Here is a 23,501-nt window from a genome sequence, read left to right as displayed (position 1 = left end):
TAGGACATTTTATTATCGCCCATGAGTGGAAATCCAGAGGTAGGATGGGATTCAGAGCTGGTTGAGTCAGCAGTTTAAGATGTCCTATTCTTTCATTCTCTGTACTCCACTGTCCATGGCATCAGTGTCACCCTGAAGCTGCTGACACTGGTGAAATAAAGATGACAGCCAGATAGGATGGATCTTACCTGCTGGCTTCTTCACATTTACTGGGAGACAGAGTCTTTCCTTGCAACCAAAGTCCTTTCAGTCAGATTGAACTAAATTAGGTCACATGTTTCCCCCTAACTATCATCAGGAACAATGCTTTATGCTGTTTGCAGTAAGTCTTAGTTTCTGACCAAATAAGTAGGATGGATTTATTATTCTTGTCATAGGAATAAGAAATCCCACCCTATGACTGAAGTCAATGGAACTGTGGGATAAACAATCCTGGGAGTCCAATACTGGGGAGTCAACCCTGTTATCCACTTACATCTCCACATTCAGTGTGGAAAGGGATCATGCCTGTTTCATTCATTCCTATATACTCAACTTCAGGCCTTCTTGCTTTCAACTCAGTGCTCTACCACCCCAAGCAATGACAAGCATGTGTAGCTTAAAAAGAGATGGAAGGCAACAAATAGTACTGAAAAAAGGGGCTGAAGTCAAAACTTTGGAGAACCCCTTTATTTAGGGCACACATTCTCAACGGAGGAGATACTGCCCATAAAGGAGTGAAAATGAATTCTTACAGAAGGAAAAGAAACAGAGATTACAATGATTTGTAGCTCTCCAAAACGCAACCCAATCCAAAAAAACCTTAACCTCTAGTATTTAATTTCCCTTGTTAGGGAGAATTTAAATTAAATTAAAATTTCTTCCTCAAGGGGAGGGAGCAATAATTAATAAAAAATGAGAAACATTGAATTAAGAGAAGGAAGGGGCCCTAATGAGCAATTTAGGGCTGATGAGAGAGAATGGAGGAAATCCAGAAAAATCTCAATCTCAATGTGTGTGTGTGTGTGTGTGTGTACTTAACTACAAAAAAATATCTAGTTATAGTTCCTAAGTAATAGATACGGAAACTTAAAATTCTTTTTAACTAAAACATTAGAAAAAAATTTCTGAATATGGCATTCTATCTCAGCCAGGAAAATCACTACTCCTGTCTTCTGAAACAGACCAAAAGGAACATAGATGAGACCTGGCTGGTATGGGTTTTTGTTTTGTTTTGTTGTTTCATTTTTAGAAAGGGTCTCACTTTGTTGCCCAGGCTGGAGTGCAGTGGCGTGATCTCAGCTCACTGCAGCCTGGACCTCCTGGACTCAAGCAATCCTCCCTTGAGAGTAGCTGGGACTACAGGCATGTGTCACCATGCTTGGCTAATTTTTGTATTTTTAGTAGAGACCGGGTTACACCATACTGGTCAGGTCAAACTCCTGACCAAGTGATCCACCCGCTTCAGCCTTCCAAAATGCTGGGATTACAGGTGTGAGACATGGCACCTGGATCCGGCTGGCATGTTTTAAGAATATAATTATTTTGCCAGATATAAATTTTTAAAAATGTGATCATTAGGATAGTCCATCGCCATGGGGAAATGAAATTGTGGTATTTCAGGACTTCTTTCCACATAACAGTCACTCTGAGAGGCAAAACAAGTTCATATTGCCTAAGTTTTTCAAATATATTATCAATGAGGTTTAGTTGAGTATTCAATCAACTGGAGGAAAAAACATACCCTACAGTATAGTTTACAAAATTTCTAAAATAAACCTATCTGAAATGCAGATGAACTGTATATACCATGAGGACTAGCATGAGCCTGAGCCACGTTTTCCTTGGGCTACAATAGGACATTTTTTTCCTAGCTATATAAAGTGACCTGGAATTTCCTTAGCTTTGATACTTACCAACATTGATAAGCAATGTTGGTTACTGGCAGCAGGAGGCTTTGGTGAATGAAAAGATATTGGTAGGACCTCCTTCAGGATCTCAGGGAAGACTCATGTTTAACAAACACTGGTAACTGGCACCATGATAAAAAGTCTCTGAAAACATATTTTTCCTTTTAAACAATGACAACAAATGTTTAAATGACATTATATGTAACCCTTGGATTAGATAAAAGATAATTATAGAGGATCAAAACTTCAGCCTATATGTCATATTTCACAGGATCTTTAAAACTCAGCAATGTTTTGGTTTAGGTATAAACATTCAATTACTTTCCCCTCAAGTTCGGAATAGGAAAAACTCTTACCACAAAAGATACAAAATGGGCCGGGTGCAGTGGCTCACGCCTGTAATCTTAGCACTTTGGGATGCCAAGGCGGATGATCATTTGAGGTCAGGAGGTCGAGACCAGCATGGCCAACACGGTGAAACCCAGTCTCTATTAAAAATACAAAAATTAGCTGAGCCTGGTGGCAAGTACCTATAATCGCAGCTACTCAGGAGGCTGAGGCAGGAGAATCACTTGAACCCAGGAGGCAGAGGTTGCAGTGAGCTGAGAGATCATGCCGCTGCACTCCAGCCTGGGTGACACAGCAAGATTCCATCTCAAAAACGAAAACAAACAAAAAAACCCAAAAGATACAAAATGTATTCTGTTATTGTGTTTCTATAGGGGTACCTATTTCATTTTTAAGCTCTAAGTTTTGTGATTCTTTTCTTGAAAGCACCAAGTTTCCACTGCACTTCTCCCTCCTCAATCAATTTCCTAACACAGAGTTTCTCAACCTTAGGAAACAAACTAGTATCCCATGAAGAAGTTTAATTTTCTGGGAAGGCAGGAAACTCATTTAATCCTTCTAGCAGTTAGAGAAGAACCATTTATTATTAGTGACATGGATATAGATGCTCAGGAAGGGATAGCTATGTTCTATACATTTTTATCCCATTATATTGTTAAGTTGTTTGCATATTTGATCTAGATGGTCAAGAAGCCCTAGAAGTTGACTGTAGCATTGAAAGGAGGTCTATTTTCAGTTTGGCAACTGACCTGGCTAGGTTACAAAATGAATGTAACTTGCCTTGAGGCACAAGGAGTGGTACATTAACAAATCACTGTAGCCACTAAAATGGTCCATTGCATACGGTTTATTTCACTAGATTGCAATTTTATACACAGTATGAAGGGGTTTCCTGATAGCACATATATAGTTTACTTTCTGTACTGCTGAAGAACCAATTGTTTTTTACATTGTATCATAATACCCTATCATTAAAACATTATTCAGTGAATTTTTTCCAACTACATATAAACGGAGATTTACCACACACATTCTTTACCATGGTGCAAGAATGCCTTTATAACATATTTGAATCACAAAATGTGAGTCTAAAATACATCACTGTAATTAAAACACTACTTTAAAGTTACAATGCCCCATGTTATAGTAGCCAGATTTGATTAATCCCTGTATAAATCACAAAGCAATTTGGTGGATAATGTCTTGGCTAACTGGCAGCAGCTTTTAACCGTGATATTAAAAAAAAAATTCTTTAATTAAGAACCAGACTTTCACAATTTAGAAAACTTCTTCCCTTATATGTCAATATTCTCAGTCAAAATGGGATATTTAAAAATTTGTAGTCTCTAAAACAAGGAAAATAAATCCAACCCTCCCTTAGCTGAAAGGATGCGGTTCTAACATTAGGTTTCGTAGAAACCTAAGAATAGCATTGTACGAGGAGTGGAAACAAGTCATAAGAAACATAACATTTCTTTTAAAACCTCTTAAATTCCTCTGCCCCTCCCCATCTCTGTCAAACACAGAGAAAGAATACTGCATTACAAACAAAGATGTGTTTCCGTGAAATGATGTAAACAAGTCAGAGAGAAAGATTTCTTCATTTTCCTATTTTGTGGAGTGGGGCAGTGGGATATCAGTTAAATAAGAAATAGAGCTCCTTAATCAAAGAACCACTTCATTACACACAAAACAGCTCGGGGCAACTGCTGAAAACTTCTCCTGTGTTTCCTTTCCTTTTCCCCAAAGTTTGAGAATGTTTGAAAGTTCAATAAATAGTAGAAAAATAATCCTTTACTTAGAAATTCTGAGATGCATCGTTTAGAGCATAACATGAGTTCCATACAGCAACTGTGGTATCCAGGTACCGCTAAGAAACAAAGCGAAATCTTCAATGCACACATTTGTATCTGCATGTGCCACATTCCAGTCTCTGGGTGAGCAGATTTTTCTCTCTTCCAGTTAAGGAGAGCTGAATGCTTCTGGCTCTTTGGAACATTCCTCTGGCTCAGCTTCACTTGCAGGTTCCGTCTCTGTGTTTGGAGGTTCGCCTTCTGTTACCTTCCATTAGTGTTATGGCAGGTCTGTTCATCAGGCTTATTTCCCCTCCATTTCAGAACCAGCCTCACATCTTCACAAATGTGACTGTGTTGTTGTTTCTCTCGTTTTTAACCATGTCGACAGGCAGGAAATGACTCAAACAACTCTGCACAAAGCACAAACACAAGGGAGGTCTCTTGCTGTGGGTTTTAAGCCGGTTCTTTTTCTTTCCAGAACATTCTGTAGCTCCCAGATCTCATCTTGGCGTGGAGGTGAGGAGATTGTTAGCATTCTGCATCGACAGTGTGTACCGTGACGGCCGCCTGTAAGTGGTGGCTATGATGAAGTGTAGGGTGGTGTGACCGGTAGTGGTGGAACTTGTGACTTAGTAGGGCAGCAGTCTGAGGGGGGGTATCCAGGTCTAAGTCCTCATCATGGTTTCCCACATCGACCCCGGCTGACAAGGGGTCATTGTTGCATGGAGGATTTTCACTGTCCTCCTGTGGGCTCATGGTGCTGTAACCTAGAAAAAGAACAAAACAAACACACAGCTGAGAGCTTCAAGACGCAGACAGAAGATTTCACCTACAATTTCTAGGGCACTGGGAGGTATTCCTGTCTTTGCAATACATAGGTGCAAACACTGGCAGACTGTCAGCAGATGCTAAAGTAATTTATTTTTAAAGAGATTTAGTGATAACTCTTTTTTTCCCTTAAAAAACAATGACACAATAAATACATAACCACTTCAGACAGCTGAGAAAGTACAGAGGAGAAAAAAAAAATAAACAAGAACCCTTATCCCAAATCCCCAAACCAGCAACACAAAAATGAAAATCACACTACATCCCATCATCCATGGCGAGCCACCACTGGGGACCTATCTTTCTACACTTTTACCTATGATAAAGATAATCTTTTTTATTAAAGAAATCCAAAAAATGGACAGCTTCAAGAAGAAGATCTGAACAGGATTCAGATCAACTGGGGCTGGTGCGGAAATCTGGGCTTCCGCCTGAATGCCTGAATGTGACGCCACAATAGAACAAAAAGAACCATCACCATCACCTGCGTGCTTGCTTGGTAGCAGGCACTTGTGTCAGGCAATTCTTGCACACCAATGGTGATATATTTTAATATACATTTTACAATTCAGGGAAATGATGATCAGAGAGGTTAAGGAATTTGCCCAAAGTTCTAGTGCCTAATGAAACACTAACTCCACATATACCCAGGGCAACTAGCTGTGCAATCAGCTATTCTCTGTGTTAGCTGCCCCCCACCCCATTTAAATTTAATTTCTTTTGGTATTCTAAGTAATACATGTTTCAAAGGCAAATGCCCTTGCTGATCAAAGGATTCCATTCTGAGATTCCTGGCATGTTTTTAAATATTGCAAAAATCTCCTTTAAACATTTTAAGAAGCAACAGCTCATTAATATTTCCATTGCATCTACAGTTAGCGTCAATCAGCACTTACCCGTGGGTAATGCTAGTCACATTCATGGCTGCAAAATTGATGTTCTTGCATGCAGCCAAGCAGGAGTCATTGGTGGTTGAAATTGTATGCTCTGTGCAAAAATTCTGTCCTCAATGAAACATTACTCAAATGATAGAATTATTTAGCTGTCAGTCCAACTTAACAAATATTTACTGCGTACCTATAATATACAAGTCACTGTGTTGGGCACTGGAAGACATATAAAGATGAAAGCCTGGTCCCTGCATAGGGAGCTCAAAAGCTAATGTTTGAGAAATGAAACAAATATCAGCATTGGTCATTCACTTATTCATTTATTGGAGACCATTATGGGGCTGGAGCGGGAGAAGAGGAAACACGAATAAGAGACGTCATCTTTCCCTAATGATTTTACAGTTGAGTTTGAGACAGATGCTCACAAAACAAAGCCTCCTTTTACACAGATAATGGTAAGTGCTATAACTGAGGTATAATTAAAATCCAGAAGAGGGAATATCTAATTCTGCCTGGGGGAATAAGGAATCTTCAGAGAATGTATATTTTAGTTGGGCTTAAGTGGATGAGTAGGAGTTTGATAAGTGGATATAAAGAAAGGAACAGGATGACCACAGCCATAGAGGTGTGGATATAAAGGCCATCCCTGTTCCATGTGGCTTGGATGAGTGCTAGCAGGTAGCTGGAGGGTAGGGCAGGTGGGAGGCATGAAGTTAAGTCAAATCATAAAGCCCGTGCCGAAGAGTAGCAAATGGAGAGACCACACAAGATACTGAGCAGGCCAAAAAATGGCATGATCATTTGTGTTTAGAGGATGGTGGTTTGGGAGATGAAGCGAAAGGAAAGACAGGGAGCAGTTAGGAGGTTATTTCAACAGCCCGCGTGAGGGATAGAGAATTAAACTAGGGCAGTGGGATTGGACAGATTTAAAAGCTATCTCAGTGGTGGAGGCAAGAGAAATTGGTAAGTCATCAGATGTGGGGGACTGTGGGGGTGAGGAGTAGTGAAAGGTGACTACAACTTCAAGTTATAAGGATAAGAAAGGACAACTCACAGATTGAGTCTCAGGAAAGAAGACACATTTTGTTTATGCACAGCTTGATTTTGAGACTCTGTTGGTCACATATGTGGAGATGTCTAGCCAGAATCTCAGAAGTGTCATCTGCAAATTCAGGGCAGAAGAGGAAGTGTTCACTGACATATGTGTCCACCATAAGCATGGTCGGGCCTGGTTAGTACTTGGATGGGAGACATGTGTGTCCACCATGACTGAGTGCCTTCTTGGTGCCAGGTGCCAGGCTAGAGGCTGGACAGGAAAGGGCTAAGGTGAGGCCTCAGCTCCTGAGAGGCCTACCTTAGGGCAAGAAGGGGAAACACCCATGTGCTAAAACAGAGGCACACAAAAGGAATTCCAAAGCCAATGGACTTGGCTTAGATCCTTGAGGTGACAATTGGGTAGACCTGATGGGAGAAAAGGGGCTAAGTAGGTAAAGACAGGGGTGTAAAGGTACCTCCAGCAGGGCCCAAGCACATGCAATGGTACAACAGCTGGAAGGGCTCTGGTGGCTTCTGGGAATGGTGAAAGCTTGGTGCTGGGGGTTGGGGCGGTGGGAGATGGCACTGGACAGATAGGCTAAGACCAGGTCAAGAAGGCTGGCTGAAGCTATGAGCTATGATCTAGTAGTGGACAGTGGGAGTGGTCAGGGGGCAATGGGGAGGCTGGACAGAAGGAAGGTGGGATCAGAGGCTCAGAGGACAGGGTGCTGGAGCATGGGCCTCGAGGAGATGGCAAGGACATAAAGTAGGGCAGTCGCAGTGTGTGGACTGTTCAAGTGCACAGTAGGCTGGATTTGGTGACCAAATGGACTTGCCTGGTGAAGATGCCAGGGAGCTGACATCCTTGGAAAAGGTCGAGGTTTCTAGGTTCAGATACTGAGCAAATAGTGATGCCCTTACCCAGGATTAAGAGACCAGGAGCCAGAATAGGTTTCTCAGCTTTAGCAGTGCTAAGTCTGGAGTGTTAGATTGGGTGCTAGGCTCCAGAATCTAAGTCACAAACTGCTGTGCATATTAAAACCACCTTATGCTATACATGTAAAGGATTAAAGTAGAAAACAGGATTTTAGCAAAATCCCAGTGATTATTCAAACACTTCCTGGATAGCTTCCCGTCTCTGCTCATTTACAAGCACCCACACACTAACTGATAATTCATGTTAGCATTCGAGGTGTTAGATTCATGGTGGCCCTTCTGCTTGGCTCACCCTCCCACCTTCCTCATCTTGCTATTGTGCCTCATGCTTCAGTTGGAAAGTCTTCTCTGGGAAGCTTTCCCAACCTATTTCCCCCACCCACCTCCAGTCCTGCCAGCCCACATGGGGGCTGGTGCTCCTTCTGTGATTTTACATGCATTCTGTGCACATCTCTTATATTTTGCCATATTATAATAAAAAATATAAGGCTATCTATTCATTAGCAAATTCTTTCTTAAATTGTAAGTTCCTGTTTATCTTTGTATCCCTAGTATTTAACACAGTGACTCACACAAAGCAGGAACTTAAAAACAACTGCTGCCCCACCCCCCACCAACGCACACTATACTCTCAAAGCAACAGCATCAGTGAATTTTGTAGTTACCTGTGGCTTTGCCTGGTACAACATTCACTAGTCTCATCTAATAATGCAGACATTCTAGGATACACTGGACTCTGTCCATGGGTTATGACAGAGTCCAGTGACACTCTGAACCTGGCTGGTCACAGGTCCTGGGTTCACATCCAGGACGGTAGTGATGGTGCAGCTGTCTCCAAGGCAACTCAGGAGGGCACCCATCTCTTCATCTCAGGATGGCACCCCCATCTCTTCTGCTACTGCTTTCTGATAGGAACCTCAACAGAGGTGCTTTCAGAGTAAAACTCTCATACTAAGGGCATTCCATTTAATTTCCTTACTATGATACCATTGCTCAACTCCTCTGTAACTTCCTCTTATTTCAATCATTAATGGAAATCTGAAGAGGTCAGGGGAGAAGGGAATAGCAAGTTGTGGAAAAGCAGGAGAAAGACAAACACATTTTCGTATTCAACAAATTAATTGTTTACTCAGTGCCAGGCAGTTCTGCTGAGCACTGGGAAGGGTGATGAATTAAGACAGACATAGTCCCTGACTCATGGAGGAAGACGCACTATTTGAAACACAAAGGATATTTGCAAACACTTTCAAGGAAAAATTTATTTACTATCCAAAGGCTTATGTAGCAAAGTGTCTGCAAATACAATCTCAAGTGGGAAATGGGCTTTAGAAAGGAGGTCAGGCATCTATCAAAAAGAGCCGAGATTAGGTTTTTGTTCTTTGACAGTCTGCTTATATATTTATCTGATAGTTCCTAAGAAACTTTGTTTGATTATAAGGGGTGTGACGTCCCTCTGGGGACTCACTCACCATCTCGTGGCCACAGAGAGTAACTGCAGGAGAATGTTTGTGCACCTCTAGAAAATGGTCTTACGTTCATCTACAAAGTTTTTTGACCAGGTTTTTAAGGTTCAGCATTTGCTTTTTAAGTATTTTGGAATTTGCCACAAACTAGGGAGAAATCTTCCTCTACAAAGAAAAAAATGTTGCCTAATATACACTTACATAAAGTTTCTGATGAGATAGTAACCAAAATACAAATTCACAAGGAACAAATAACGTACAGGTGTTTTTTGACTTAAAAATAAGCCAATAGATGATTGGACAGAACATGATATTTTTAAGAGAAATGGGCAAAGCAGATAGATAGTTGAAAACACACACAGGTAGTAATTGTTTCTAACCTCCACTTGTGAGGGTAACACTGCTGAAAATCAATCATTCTAAGTGGTCTTAGACTATGGGCCAAAATGATTCTACTTTCAAAAAACATTCTCAATTGGAGTAGTTTTTCTTAAGATACAACAATTAAAATTAGATTCTTTTGAAAAACGAAATTCTGTTGGCCACATAAAATATTTCTAAATAAAAATACACCCTAAAGTTTCTAAGTTTAGTTTGGTAACATTCAATTTTCATTCAATTCTAGGATCACAACTCTGAACTCATACCATGAGAGCCGAGGCCGTTGTGTAGTCATGTATTTATAGACTTAATTCTTTTGAGTTTCCTTTTGTGTAACACACTCAAGGATTCACATGGAAATACGCTTATCAGGGAGCAGAGAATCATGACGCCACAATCCTACCAGTTCAAGGGCCAGTCAATGCCATGTTCCTCCATGGGGTTTCCCATAATTTACTCGCAGATAAAAGTGAACTCTCACCCCTTTCCTTCTTTGTTTTACTCTTTTAAGGAAGCTGTCATATTCCACCTTTTATCAAGCATATGAATACATGCATTCATTTATAGCTTCCTCCTAGACTGTAAATTTCTTCAGGGCAGGGTGGGCACAGAGGTAGGGAGGTCAACCCTGAGCACCGTGCCTATCATATGTCATTTCATTTCATCCTCATTGCAACTCCACCCAGCATTTTTTTTTTCTTTTTTTTTTGAGACAGCCCTGTCTCAAAGAGCTCAAAGAGTTCTTGGCTAGAGTGCAGTGGTGCTAACATGGCTCACTGCAACCTTGACCTCCTGGGCTCAAGTGATCTTCCCACCTCAGTCTCCCGAGTAGCTGGGACTACAGGCACGTACCACCATGCCTGGCTAATTTTTTTATTTTGTAGAGACAGGGTCTCACCATATTGCCCAGACTGCAGTAAAAATTTTTAATCCTACCTTAAGTGTTAGGAAACTCAGGTCTAAGGTAGCTCACTAAGGTCTCAACAGCTTGTGGAAAAAAAAGGGGGAGAAGTAGGCTTCAAAGTGAACTGGCTTTACCCTATCTCCTAAGCTCTTCCTCTACACCAAGCTGTCTTGAGGAAGTAACAACTCCCATCTGTAGCCCCCTCCACCTCCACAGTGTACAAGGGTACAGTCATGTCTTGTGTAATGACAGAGATACATTATGAGAAATGTGTCCTTAGGTAATTTCATCATTGCACAAATGTCACAGAGTGTACTTTCACAAACCTAGATGATACAGCCTACTACACACCTCGGCTATATGGCATAGCCTATTCTTCTAGGCTACAAACCTGTGCCACATGTTACTGCACTGAATACTGTAGGCAACTAAAACACAATTGTACACAATACTGTAGGTAATACTATAGGTATTTATATATCTAAACATAGAAGAGGTACCAGAAAAATACCGTATAAAAGATTTTTTAAAATGGTACACCTGTGGCCGGGCGCAGTGGCTCACGCCTGTAATCTCAACACATTGCGAGGCTGGGGTGGGCGGATCACCTGAGGTTGGGAGTTCGAGACCAGCCTGACCAACATGGAAAAACCCAGTCTCTTCCAAAAATACAAAATTAGCCGGGCATGGTGGCATGTGCCTGTAATCCCAGTTACTTGGGAGGCTGAAGCAGGAGAATCGCTTGAACCCAGGAGGTGGAGGTTGTGGTGAGCCGAGATCGCACCATTGCACTCCAGCCTGGGCGACAAGAGCAAAACTCTGTCTCAAAACAAAAAACAAAAAACAAAAAACAAAAAAGGTACACCTATATAGAGCACTTACCATAAATGGAGCTTGCAGGATTGGTAGTTGTTCTGTGTGAGCCAGTGAGTGACTGGTGAGTGAATGTGAAGGCCTAGGACATCAGTGTACACTACTGTAGACTTTATAAACACTATATATTTAGGCTACTCTAAATTTATTAAACTTTTTTCTTTCTTCAATAATAAACCTTTGCTTACTGTAACTTTTTTGCTTTATAAACTTTTAAACTTTTAAAACTTTTTGACTATTTTGTAATAACAGGTTAAAATACAGACACATTGTACAGCTGTGCAAAAATATTTCCTTTTGTTATATCCTTATTCTATAAGCTTTTTTCTAGTTTAAAAATTTTTACATTTCACTTTTTAAACTCCTTCATTAAAAAACTAAGACACAGTGTCTCCAAAAAAAAAAAAAAAAAAAAAGAAGAAGAAGAAGAAGAAAAAACAAAGAAAATCCACGAATATGACTAAATGGCGATAAAATACCAAAAAAAATTTTTACCACAAATGAGATCCTTGATATGTAAGGAATGATACAGTTTTGAAGTGCAGTGAGCTGAGATCGCACCTTTGCACTCCAGCCTGGGTGACAAGAGCGAGACTCCGTCTCAAAAAATAAAGCACACACACAAAAAAACTAAGACACAAACACACACATTAGCCCAGGCCTACACAGGGTCAGGATCATCAAGATATCACTAGGCAATAGAAATTTTTCAGCTCCATTATAATCTCATGGGACCCCTGTAGTATATGCGAAGTGTTGTTATGCAGTGCATAACTGTGCATAGCAGATGCCAATACATCCACCAAATAGGAGAGTAGAGCATACACAGATGAGCAAGAAGTGTGCCAACAAAACAATTAGATTTCCTTGTTTAATGGGTGTATGTAGCTTTGCCTCTAGGCATCACAGGGACATTAACTCAATGTCACCATTTTTAGTGACCCACGTACTGGTTCAAAGGATGCCAACACGCATTTAAATTCTATTGATTTTATGATGCATTTGGAATATGGGGAGTGTCAATGCCTTCCCCTTCTTTTGGTGTTGCATTCTGTCTGCATGAGAAACTATTTTTCATACCTTGGGGATAACATGGATCCAATTATGGAGAAAAATGAAAGGAACCAAGCCCTTAGCTGGATGCCTTAGTGTTCAGATACTGACACTGCACCCTTCCTTTTATCTAAGCTGTTGCTTCATATGCCATTTTACTGAGACAATGGGAGAGGCTAATGGAACGTCATAAACATCACTCAGAATCCTAATTTGGTATTGATGCAATTCCTATTGAGGAACAGAGAGAAAAAGGATTCAGTATTTCAGAGAGAGAAAAGGATTCAGTATTTCTGCTGAATAAGAAATTATTTCTGTTGAACTTTAGTAGCCTCAAACCTGTTTTATTATTCAAACGAGAAGGCACAGAACTGCCTGGCAGCAGGAATTTATGCAAGTTCAAAGGTTTGTAGAGAAAAAAGCAAAAAAGTCAAAGAAACTGAGAAATTTAAGTTCTGCTGTGGTTCTCCATAGAAACCTGAAGTTTCTATTTAGTTGGTGGGAATAATGTCATTCAAAGCCCAAATTAACAGTCTCCAATTTATAAAACAGAGCTTTAGCTGCTCTTATTTGCCAAAGGGAGTTTGAAGACCTGGCTGTAGTGTAAATGGTGACGTTGGTTGCTCTGAGGAGTATCTATTTTTGCATTTTTTAGTGTAGATACAGGGAATACAAGGTTTGAGGACTTTTTTTTTCCAGGATAGGTGTGGAAAAAGCTAAGTCAAAAAGGCTTAAATACACTATTTATGTATTTAAAAAAGGACTTGATTCTAGGAGGAAAATACAGATTTCTGGAAAATTAAACAGCTATCTTAAAAAAAAAAAAAGATTTTACAATGGCAGGAAAAACACTACCCACATCTGTTATATTTTTGTGGAACTGTGGCAGTGATGCTTATAGACTGGGATACATCTGCTGTTCTTTGCAACAATGAGCGATATGGACTCTGAGAAGGAGAGAAGCCATGTGGGATGGCCAAGTCTTTGGCAGAGTAGGTGGATTTCATAAGTTACCTAGCACTCGGCGCCTCTTCATGATTTGGCCTTGACCCTTCCTGAGCATCTTACAGGCACTTACACAACTCCATGACTTTGTAAACACTGGTCCTTTGGCCTCTAATATTCTTTGCCCCTACCTTTTCTTTAATCACCCCCTCAAGGCTCAGTGCAAATGTTGCTTCTTGCTTCTTTGGTGAAGCCTTCTCTGAGCTCCCCAGACCATGCCAGAGGTCAGGGCAAGAGAATGCTGGAGGACAGCACAGATTCTTGTCATGCCCCAAGGGGACATGACTGAAAAAGCCCTTAAAGATCCTGCTGTTTGCCAGCCAACACTGGAGAGCGGGACCTAAGAGGATGCTGATTTTATGGAAAAGCAAGTGGGATGGCAAGCAGGCTCCATTTAAACAATATGAATCCTTCTGTATGGAGAAAAACTTGAAAGCAATCTGTGTGCCCAGAGGAGTGCTGAGACATAAGTAAAACTGTCCTCGGGCTCTTATAAACCAGTGGCATGCTGGGGTGTGTCTTTTTGGAAAACCATGTCAAAATAGGGTGTGAGCATCATCCCACAGGAGTACATGAGGTTCCTTGGGTCTTCAAATGCAGGAAGCTAGACCTTACCATGATCACTTTCTGTTCCTGATCGACCCCAGTAGCGGCGCCTTCTTTCTGGACTGTGTGCATGTCGTTCGATGACCGCAGCTATAAACCGAGTGTTGCTGACTGTAGGAAGCCAAGGACAGTTAATGTCACTCTTATGCCAGTATCTCCATTGTTTCAAACACATTTGCTCTGAGAGGGCTCATTTACATGCTGGGAGAATTCTCTTTGGAAAGCCAGAATAAATCATTTTTTAAACAATTCTGGGGATTGGGGTGCTGATTTTAGAACTGGTGCAGTGAGAGGTATTTAATTATATATCTCCAACGTGCATCAGGAAGCTATGGTCTAGTAGCTGAAGGCCAGGGTGTCTTAACACTAATGGAAATCTCTTTTGATAAAGAAAATGCTCTTTTTTCCTCCCTGAGTTGTACATACTAGTTAAGGGATTTTTTAAAAAATGCATACCTGAAACTTCCTTTTCTAAAATACTATGGTTGGAAAATAATGAGCAAGAGAAACAAAGGAAAGGGTGAGCTGTTTTAGGCCAACACACTTAATGCAAAAAAAAAAAAAAAAAAAAAAACACAATAAAATCTTTTGAGATTCTCTAAAACAAAGACCTACACGTACTCCTAACAAAAAAGGATGGAAAAAAACAACTAAAAAAACCCAGCCACCGTGTCAAAGCTTCTTAAATTTTAATACAAGCCAAAAGGATATAAGAAAGAATATTTATTCTGGATTAGCCTCCTGCTGACACATTCTGCAGCAAGGCAGCTGAATACTCACTGATGCCTCTGTCTTCGTGGCTGTCGTCGTCCCTTTCATCTCTGTCATTCTCCAGGTTGGACATACGCACTGACATTTCTACCCATCATTAAAAAGAGAGAAACATGACTATTTAATCAAACAAAATCACCCGCTTTAATACCCTGCTGAGCACTTGTTTGATGGCTGGGTGACAGCATTCCATCAAGAATGAATCCCATCTTAGAAGGGAATGAACTGATGCCCCATGTTTTTTTAAAGGAGGAGGGAGCAGGAATCCAAACAAGAAGAACAAGTAATCAAGAGACATCTGAAATTCATTTCTGAGAAAGGAGGAGAAAAGAAGTTGATTGAGGCCAACAAATCTTTAATCCTCTACTAAAGTACTGAAACAGAAGGAAAGGGATTGAAAAATGACTGACTGTGTTGGTGAAATGGTGCAACAAAAGCCTCCAAAAGGCCAGGCATAAGCTAACACTGGATGACGGTCATCCTCAGTCTAGCTGAATCTCACCAAGGGAAGCACATGGTGATTATCCCTGTTACTAAATCAGGTAACATTACTCCATGATTCCCCTTCAGGCTTGTGGCCATAGTGAAATGCTTTAACATCAACCTGTCATTACAGCTGTTAGAGTGAGCTAAGTGGCCAGGAAGATGAGTTAACTTCACCTCCAAAAAGGTCAGGTCAACACATCCCCGGGGACTGGGGTTTTAGGAAGGATGGAGATGGCCATTAAACAGTTTTGTTCCCTGCAAACAGAGTACAGATACTGCACTTAAACAGAGTATAGATACTGCACGTGGTATTGAGGCCATGATTATAGGTGAATCATTTTGTACTTGGCTTCGATGACTTTTTTTTTTTTCAGATGGAGTCTCACTCTTTCGCCCAGAATGGAATGCAATGGCGCGATCTTGGCTCACTGTAGCTTCCATCTCCTGGGTTCAAGCGATTCTCCTGCCTCAGCCTCCCAAGTAGCTCAGACCACGGGTAGGTGCCACCGCACCGGCTAGTTTTTGTATTTTTAGTAGAGGCGGGGTTTCACCATGTTGGCCAGGCTGGTCTTGAACTCCTGACCTCAAATGATCCACCCACCTCGGCCTCCCAAAGTGCTGGGATTACAGGCATGAGCCACCGCGATTGGCCGACTTATCCTGTTTTAAGAGATGTGATTATTCAAATGTGTGTTTATTCACACTACATAATGGCAGCTGCAATCGAACAGATTATATTCTTGCCATTAGTGATCTGGGGTATCTTTGATTTGCCTGTCTTTTTGGAATTGCAAGGGCAGCACATCTAACAAACAAAATTTCCCACTCAGCATCCCAGCTCCCCTGACTGGCTTATTGCAGAGGCAGGCCACTGGGGGCTAATGCTGGTAAGGAGAGGATCCAGGGATTTTTCCGGGGATCAAAATAGAGCTTGTAGGGTTTAGGCACTGAAGAAGAAAGCAGGCTTTGGGAACTTCCAAAATGACTCCACAGAAGCTGAAAGTATAGCACTGTTCTGACAGTTCCTTAGAGGCTTACACAACCCGCCACTGTCCTTCTAGCCTGGCTGCTGCCTCCCCTGTGGGGTTCATTTTGAGCTCACCTTGGGCAGCAAGAGGAGACATATGCTGATGGCTCCGGCGATGAATCTGGTGGCGGTAGGCATACACCGCCAGGACCAAGACCATGATGCATCCCATGATCCCTCCAGCCACAGGACCCACAGGGGCGCTTTTAATCATGTTTAATGTGATCACCTCATCACCTTCAGTGAAAGAGCAAGAAGATGTTTCTTGTTAAGATTTCCCAAGTGGGGAAGAAAGTAAGGATGGTGAGATGGGAGGGAATACAGTGGGAAGGGGGTTGGCGGAAGATAAACAGATGCTTAGTTAGGCTTTGAGTTCCTCAAACATGACGCATGGGAACGTGGGAGCGGAGGCTACATTTAATTCCTGGTTCTCCAGTGTTGGTTGCTAGGCAGAGCAGGAGCACAAATGGCAAGGACTGCTGGGAAGAGTGAGCAGACCAGAAGAATTGCTTACACAGGCAGCATCCAACACCAACAGAGTCCTAGCTCCCTGGGGTATGAGTTACTCTTGGAAGAGAGGAAAAGTCACCTAGTACAGAGTAACCACTGAAATAAAAGGCACCAGGTCCAATAAATATGCGCTAACCGGATCAAGTTTCGAAGCTTATGGGTTTCCTTTAAAAGGCCATTTGTGCTTTCCAGATAGGAAACTGCAGGTGAGCATAGAAAGTGATTTCTCAGAGCCAAGTCACTTTCACATATGTACCCTCACCTAGTTCAGCAGTAACATACAAGCTCAAAATCCTTCCCCACATATGAGCTTTTCTTCTAGACAGGCTGATGTAAGTGATGTTAAAAATCAAGGTATTAACTAAGGATTTAAATATTTGACTCTACTGCCATCTAAGAATTAGGCCTTGGTGCTAATTCTGGAAAGACTGAAAAAAAAAATCTCAGGTAAGCAATCTAATCTTGGCAGTATTTTTGAGGTCTTGGAGACTGATCCCAGGGGCTGTCCACCCTGTGGTGTCCTTGTGCTTCATCCTAAGCTGTCCCAGATGCACTGGGTAGCTCTGGCTTCTGTTGACTCCAAGGCCCCAAATACTGATTTGTAGCTATAAGACTTCTACCTTGCAAAAGTTGTGAGTGAAGGTTTTAGCAGGCACTAGACATACAGTGGTCACTCCGTACACGGCCCTGTGCTTCTGACAGCTGGCGTGCATATCCAAACAGACTCCAGAGTTTGGCCATGCAGAAACCAGTCCTTATATTTATCAGAACAAGCTTTATGGGAATGAATTCCAGGCTTGTAAAATTTGGCAGCACAGATGGCCACTCACTCTCTCTGCATAGAATATTTAGCCAGTTCTGAAGGTAATTATCTGCCTTGGTTTTGTAACTAAAGACTACCAGCAAAGGAATCAGGGAAGTTGGGAAGAGGATTATTTTAAGATGTCCTAGCATATAGGCAGGAAATTGTATATTCAAGAATCAAATTGTTGGGGCATCTAACAAACATACCTATTGCTCCCATGTCATCAACGTAGGGACTTTTGGCTCCCACAATCCCCCCGAAGCATTCTTTCTGGGGGGCACAGTAGGGTTTGTCCAGGTGAGTCTTTCCATCACTGTCCACCATGCACCATTCACAATCCAGCACCCCAAAACAGTCCCTGCCAGAAAAACAATACTTAGTCTTCTATAAAGCAGTGTGGGGCAGGGGACAGCACTTAAGTGTGGGCATCAGACAGTTCTCAGGATCTCCATTACTTACTAGTGCTGTGAATTTCTTGAGCTTTAGTTTCCTTTCCTTATAAAATGAGAATAGCAATAGACTGCCAGGGAAATAACTGTTTTATGCCTCTTAACAACTTGGAAAGGAGAGAAATAAAACTGCTCTCTGTGAATTAAATAATGACATCCACACATCATGGGGCTATTCAAAATCATCTTACAAGACCAAACAGAAATGACCCCAATGTTTGTTAGACTCTGGCTTAACATCCCCCAAGTGTGGGGTCATTTAAAAAAATAAAAAAAAAAGTCCAATAAGTTTGGAAATACTTGGCCAGTCACCACAGGTTTCCTCACTGCCAATTTCTCAGAGCCTTTAGTGTATTACATGCATTGTGACTGTCTCAAGAGAATATATGCAGTGTCAGCATTTCCCAAACTTAATTGACTTGGGGCTACTGTATAACATCCCAAATTAATCAGTTTGATGCCACAATTCCTTTGCTAAAATACACACGCAAAGCAGAGTAAGCTATCCCTCTAAACACTGTTTAATAAAATGGCAAGCTACAGCTACAATAAGCTAAAAACCAACTCCCCTTTACTTAGTCTACCACAGCCACTATTTCCATAATGTCTAGTCCCAAACTCCTAATCCCACCTGAGGAGTGGGGAGAGAGCGGGGAACATGTAGTTTTTAGTTCTCAAAACTATCATGAAGCAGATGTGTTTCCTAAGAAAGGAAAATAAATGAGCTTCAAAATATCACACCTAGAGCCTTGACCACTGGGTTCTGCTTCTGGACCTCAGGGGTTCCTCCTCCCTTGCCCTGCTGCTTCATGCCATGGCCCCTCACAAGTCTTTTATTTCAAGAAAAACTCCCATTCACAGATGAGGCTACTAACATATGGTACACACGCTAAATACGGGTAATAAGTGGGAACGAGACAACATTTAATCTGGTGGGTAAAGGCTTATGGAAATCAGTTTCAGATCTGAAAAACTGACATACCTTTTTAAAACACGAAGAGTAGGAATAATAAATATTAGCTGGAAAACCTCAATTCTTTACTAGATTCTGCTTACCCACTTTCCAGCCTCTGACTGCACCTGCTGTTGACACACTGGTGAAGAGCATCTTGCAGGCCAGGGTCAATAGCTGTGTATGTCACCGGCTCCTGGTGGACCTCGCAGCTGGGGTTTCTGTGCAGGAGGTAAGTCTGGAGGTTAAGACGACCACCGCCCACATTCCAAACTCATGCTCCTGGTCCTTAACAGCAGTCAGACAGATTTGGGTTTGAATCCTGGCTTTGCCACTTAGTGTGTAACCTTGTATCAATCACTTAACAACTCTGAGCTTCAATTTACTTATCTTTATATACAGTAGAAGTAATACAAATAACCTAGGCAACATGATGAAACCTCATCTCTACGAAAAGTACTACTACAGCAACAAAATTTAGACAGGCTTGGGAATCACATGCCTGCAGTCCCAGCTACGAGGGAGGTAGAAAGGTGGGAGGATTGCTTGAGCTTTGGAGGTAGAGGTTGCAGTGAGCCATGATCGCGCCACTGCACTCCATCCTGAGCAACAGAGTGAGACCATGTCTCAACAAACAATTATACACACACAATACAAACACACATGACACTCTTAATTTCTAGAGAAGGGGTTTATTACAATTTATTTTCCTGGTGTTAAAATCTGTCACTGATATAAATAATGCTGTAGAACACATCATACGTGTGTAAAAAACACTTGCATATTTATCACAGGGTTAATTAGAACACTAAGTGACTTAATGTGCATAACGTACTCAACACATGGTAGACACTTAGTAAATGCTTGAAACATTCTCACATTTTTTTGTATGTAGCACATACACTCTTAATACTTTTACAGCAGTTAAATTTAAACCTTGAAACAGGCATCATTTTATGGCACTACGGAGCTTGAATTCTGGCTCACTGAACAGTTAGTTCTATCATTAGAATGAATCATCTTTATACGCCCTAACTCAAAACAAATCTATAAGAGACTCACAGTATTACATATGTATTATTATTATTATTATTATTATTATTATTATTATTATTATTATTAATTATTTTACCGGTTCTCTGCATTGGTGAGGTTGCCAGTGCACTCATTGACCTCTAGAGGGCACTCACAAGGACATTCACATTCATTTTGTTCCATTCTGAAAAGCAAAAAGAAAGTTACTATGCAGAAGGTCAATGGCAAACTGTAAGTTGTACATGTGCTGGGGAAGCAAAATAATGAAGCTCTGAGCTAGTTTAAAAGAATAGTAAAAAAGAAGTTACAGCCAAAGGTTAAATACATAAATGGCCTTAATCCATTGTTCTTTGGACAAGGATGCTGCAAACGGCACAGCTCTAAGTGGCTTTGTAACTGTGACTTTTCTTCAGGACACACACCAGCACTTTCTGTTTATTTTGCACTTCAAAATGCCTGACATCAGTTGAAATATTAAACAGTGTGGTGAACACAGAATATGACCCATTGCATTTTTACCGGTGACAGTTGAGACAGAGTCGGTCCACCATGCTGCAGGCACAGAAGGCAAGAGAGTCGCAGGTTTCGTTGACAATGCCAACAAACGCGTTGGTTCCTGGGATCCTTGCTAATCTGTATTTGGAACAGTGGCTGCCATGCACAAGGTTCGTCAAATCCCCCTACAGAACAATCAAGGTATCAGAAATGACAGACAGCAATGCAAAGACTCAGCCCTACCTTGGTGAAAACAACTCTTCAACTACCTACGAAAAATAGCTTAAAATAAAATGTTTCTGATTACAAAAGTCACTGTTAAAAAATATATAGTCACTGTTAAAAATTTAGAAAATAAAAATTATTCATAATCAGAGATATCTCCCATTGAACAGCTGTGTATATATTATGAATTCTTTTATCTGTGCTTATACAAATGTAACTTTTATAACTGTTATTAAAATCTGTTTTTTCTTAACACATAACAATATACCAGGAAAATGAATACTTCAAGAAGCAATAAAAGACAATTTTCAGGGAAGGAATAGTTTAAAATTTATTCACATGCAAACCTAGTTAACCACAAATTGTGCATTCCCCTTTCTTTGGGTGATGAACCTTTTTCCTTTTATAATAATAAAATTATTTAAAAATCAAACCTAACAGGCAAATTTCTGCTTCTAGAATATTTAAATAATCCAACTAAAACAAGTATCCCTTTTCTTCATTCCATAACAAGAAAATGTGATAGCAAGTTTCTTGAATTGCCAATTTTGTTTATCATATTAGAAAATCAAAGATTCCAAAGTGGTATTGTAGAGTTGCATGTAATCATTTTTCTGCATGTGTGTCAGATACACTAGGCAAATTATTTCACCTCAAGCTTGTTTCATGCCATTCACCCTGTATATATGCTTGGTGAGGATTAGCTTAGTTCTGAGAATCATAGCACTCAATGGGTTTTTAGAGGTCTACATGAATTTCTAACTGTCTGGAAGACACCCACCTCTAGAACATAAGCAGTAACATAGGCTTGGAGTCCTGACAGCCCCAATACCCAGGAATGCTCTAATTCCATTTGGGGATAACTTGGGCCAATAAATTATTCGAATTTGCCTTTTGAGAAGTATCTACCTGAGTATCCTGGCATTGTGTGCTGAAGACTCCAGAAATCATTGCATAAATAATAGAAGATACACAGAATAAGTCAGACTTTCCTATGACAACCTTACTTGGCAGTCTCATTTGTCAATGTCTCCTTTAAAAACAGTGCTTCTCAAAATGGTATGGGGTCTGAACAGGGTAATAATGACTTCCCTTGCTTTGAACACACCATTCTATTAACATATTCATGTTTTAAACTACTCTTTTCCACCAGATAATTGCTTTCTGCAATAGAGTTTTTGAGACTCAGTTTAGGATTTTTAATTTAACCCAGTACATTTTAAAAATTAATTACATACTTAATGACTGACATAAATGCCTATTCTAAATAAAAAACCTACTTCCTGTAAATAGCTTTTTGAATGTTCTTTCATTCCCCATTTTAGCTTTCTCCCAACTAGGATTATTTATAAATTAATGAGAATGTCCTTAAGATCTTTAACCATAACCAGGTAAATTTGCAGCAACTCAAACTATACAGAGTACTCTAAGCTAAAAAAAGACATTATTTTCAGATGATTTACATAAGAGTTCCCATCTCATAGAGCAAATGATCAAGAACTGACCTAACTTGGCCTTGGGAATTTAAGGAGCCCGAGTGATCTCTAGAAGACAGGAAGAGAGGAACACATGGTGCCACATATATTTATACAAGACTGTGGGAACCAACTTCAGCAGATATTTCAAAGGACTTACATTGGGAAAGTCTTTAAACAAATAAAACCAAAACAAAATACCAACTGAGAGACCTTAAAACTTTTACTTTTCTACTCTGAGCTTTATATCTCCCAATTGTCAAACTGGGAACTGGAACTAAGCTCCTGTCTCCTCCTATCATTCTATAGTTCTAAGGCGATGAAACAGGTAGGAATAATATTCAGACACTAGCCATGATTCCAATTCATGTTCCATAATGGGATGGAAAAATGAGAGTGTTAAGGAATCAGATCAACTTACCGCAAGGCTGGTGTTGAATTTATAAAACCTCTGGACCGTTCTGTCACTGAAGCTGTTGCACAGGTTTTTCTTTACAAAGTTGGGGTGGTTGAGGATATCATTTGCTACCAGGGGCTCCTACCAAGGCCAAAGAGAACAGAAGACATATGCCATGTAGTGAGCTGCAGGAGGTTGGAGAACTGAGCAGCTCAGCTTTGTGACAAATACCTTGTGGGTGATGTGCTGCTGCTCCACAGGTGCATGTCCTTTGGGGTCGATGAGAGTCGGGTGCGCCACCAGATAACCCCTGTCCTCCATTATGAAGCACCTGTACCAAAACAAGTTATGCCCCTCATTCATATCAGCTGTTTTTTTTTTTTTCAAACGTATTCAGAGAGCATTTATCTTGCTAGCCCTGAAACAAACTGCATTTATCCCAGGTTCTCAATAAATACTCATTGGAAAAATGAAGGGAAGCTGGCAGGCAGGTAGACAGGTACATGATTTTTGAGGTTGCGGGTCACCTAGAGTAGAGGTTAAGGTAAGAGTTACACCTGACTCTGTGGTCACCTACATAGTGTATACAGAATGCGCTCACCCAGTCCGAGTAAGATGGACTCAGACCTTTTGCAAAGATGTATGAATGGGAAGTTTGTTCTTTTTTTCCAGGCAAGCAGATCCTAAAGGAAGTAGACTTGAGTATTTCTACTGACAGATTTGAAGTAAAGCATATAATTTCTTCTTTCAATGATAAATATACACAAAATAACAACACGCAGGGGATGTATAAAAATATACAGTAGTCCTTCTCCCTTATCTGTGGAAGATATGTTCCAAGACCCCCAATGGATGCCTGAAAGTGAT

General features: G+C 40.7%; 1 protein-coding gene across 5 annotated transcripts in view; it reads right to left on the bottom strand.

Moving 5' to 3' along the window:
* Positions 1 to 3,069: 3,069 nt before the first annotated feature.
* CACHD1 (cache domain containing 1) overlaps positions 3,070 to 23,501 on the bottom strand; it is a 222,925-nt gene continuing 202,493 nt past the window's right edge. For all 5 annotated transcript variants that reach the window (NM_020925.4, XM_047426234.1, XM_047426235.1 and 2 more), the window contains 10 exons: positions 22,866 to 22,965; positions 22,659 to 22,775; positions 20,562 to 20,722; positions 20,140 to 20,226; positions 19,112 to 19,228; positions 17,813 to 17,964; positions 16,367 to 16,528; positions 14,788 to 14,865; positions 14,017 to 14,118; positions 3,070 to 4,800 (listed from right to left, as the gene is read on the bottom strand). In NM_020925.4, coding sequence (NP_065976.3) covers positions 4,562 to 4,800; positions 14,017 to 14,118; positions 14,788 to 14,865; positions 16,367 to 16,528; positions 17,813 to 17,964; positions 19,112 to 19,228; positions 20,140 to 20,226; positions 20,562 to 20,722; positions 22,659 to 22,775; positions 22,866 to 22,965 — 1,315 coding nt within the window. In that variant the 3' untranslated portion in view covers positions 3,070 to 4,561. The remainder of the gene's footprint in view (positions 4,801 to 14,016; positions 14,119 to 14,787; positions 14,866 to 16,366; positions 16,529 to 17,812; positions 17,965 to 19,111; positions 19,229 to 20,139; positions 20,227 to 20,561; positions 20,723 to 22,658; positions 22,776 to 22,865; positions 22,966 to 23,501) is intronic.

This window comes from Homo sapiens, chromosome 1, assembly GCF_000001405.40.
Source record: "Homo sapiens chromosome 1, GRCh38.p14 Primary Assembly".
Lineage (NCBI taxonomy): Eukaryota > Metazoa > Chordata > Mammalia > Primates > Hominidae > Homo > Homo sapiens.
This window is presented reverse-complemented; position numbering and strand designations above follow the sequence as displayed.